Below are 688 nucleotides of genomic sequence, written 5' to 3'. Positions count from 1 at the left end.
AGCCTTATGGAGAGATTGAGATGTGGAGGCCAATCATGGAAAAAATATGACCATGATGTGGCAGTAGCACACACAAGCTTTGTGGGTGACACTTTGACAGGTTTGAATGCAGGGGAAGTCCCTTCCAGCAGGAGTGTGTTCTCAGGCAAAGGCATAGAGGTTGCTACTTACAAGAGAAGGGCAGGGAAACTCCCAGGAGACAGTCAGAGGAGAGAGTGTGAAAGGAGATTTACGTGTCTAGGTGAAGTCAGCTCAGCAGCACAGCGAGGAATTTTTTGGGTCAGAGATCTCTGAAGGGCAGCAGCAGGTAGGGATCCTCATGGCTCAGGCCTTCTCTTGTTTATCTCCAGCAGATGTGGGGTGAGGTTTGGGGTGGGTAAGGGTCAGCTAGGCTCACAGGGGCTAAAAAATGTGATTGTTCGAGCTATTTAAAAAAATAATTGGACATACAATCTTCTCTGAGTGCCTTCCTACAGAGTAGTTCCCCTTTATCCTGGGAGGAACAGTTCAAGACCTCCAGTGGATGCCTGAAACTGGGTAGTGCCAAACCTCATATATACTGTGTTTTCACTATGTGTACATACCTACAATGTTTAATATAGGACTTATCACACACTGTGGCCGTAACTTTTCGGTTTAAAGTGTGACAGCAAAATGAACACGGATTTCTTTTTCCATCTTCACAATT

The 688-nt window shown here is 45.6% G+C and overlaps 1 annotated feature.

Annotated features, from left to right (window-relative positions):
* Window positions 270–399: an enhancer, noted in NCBI's record as "active region_13215". NCBI's record gives its function as "activates an Ori minimal core promoter by ATAC-STARR-seq in GM12878 lymphoblastoid cells {active_cell/tissue: GM12878}" and the evidence as "EXISTENCE:reporter gene assay evidence [ECO:0000049][PMID:35858748]".

Source organism: Homo sapiens, chromosome 18, assembly GCF_000001405.40.
Source record: "Homo sapiens chromosome 18, GRCh38.p14 Primary Assembly".
Lineage (NCBI taxonomy): Eukaryota > Metazoa > Chordata > Mammalia > Primates > Hominidae > Homo > Homo sapiens.
The sequence above is the reverse complement of the archived record's forward strand: the minus strand, read 5'-3'. Positions and strand labels throughout refer to the sequence as shown.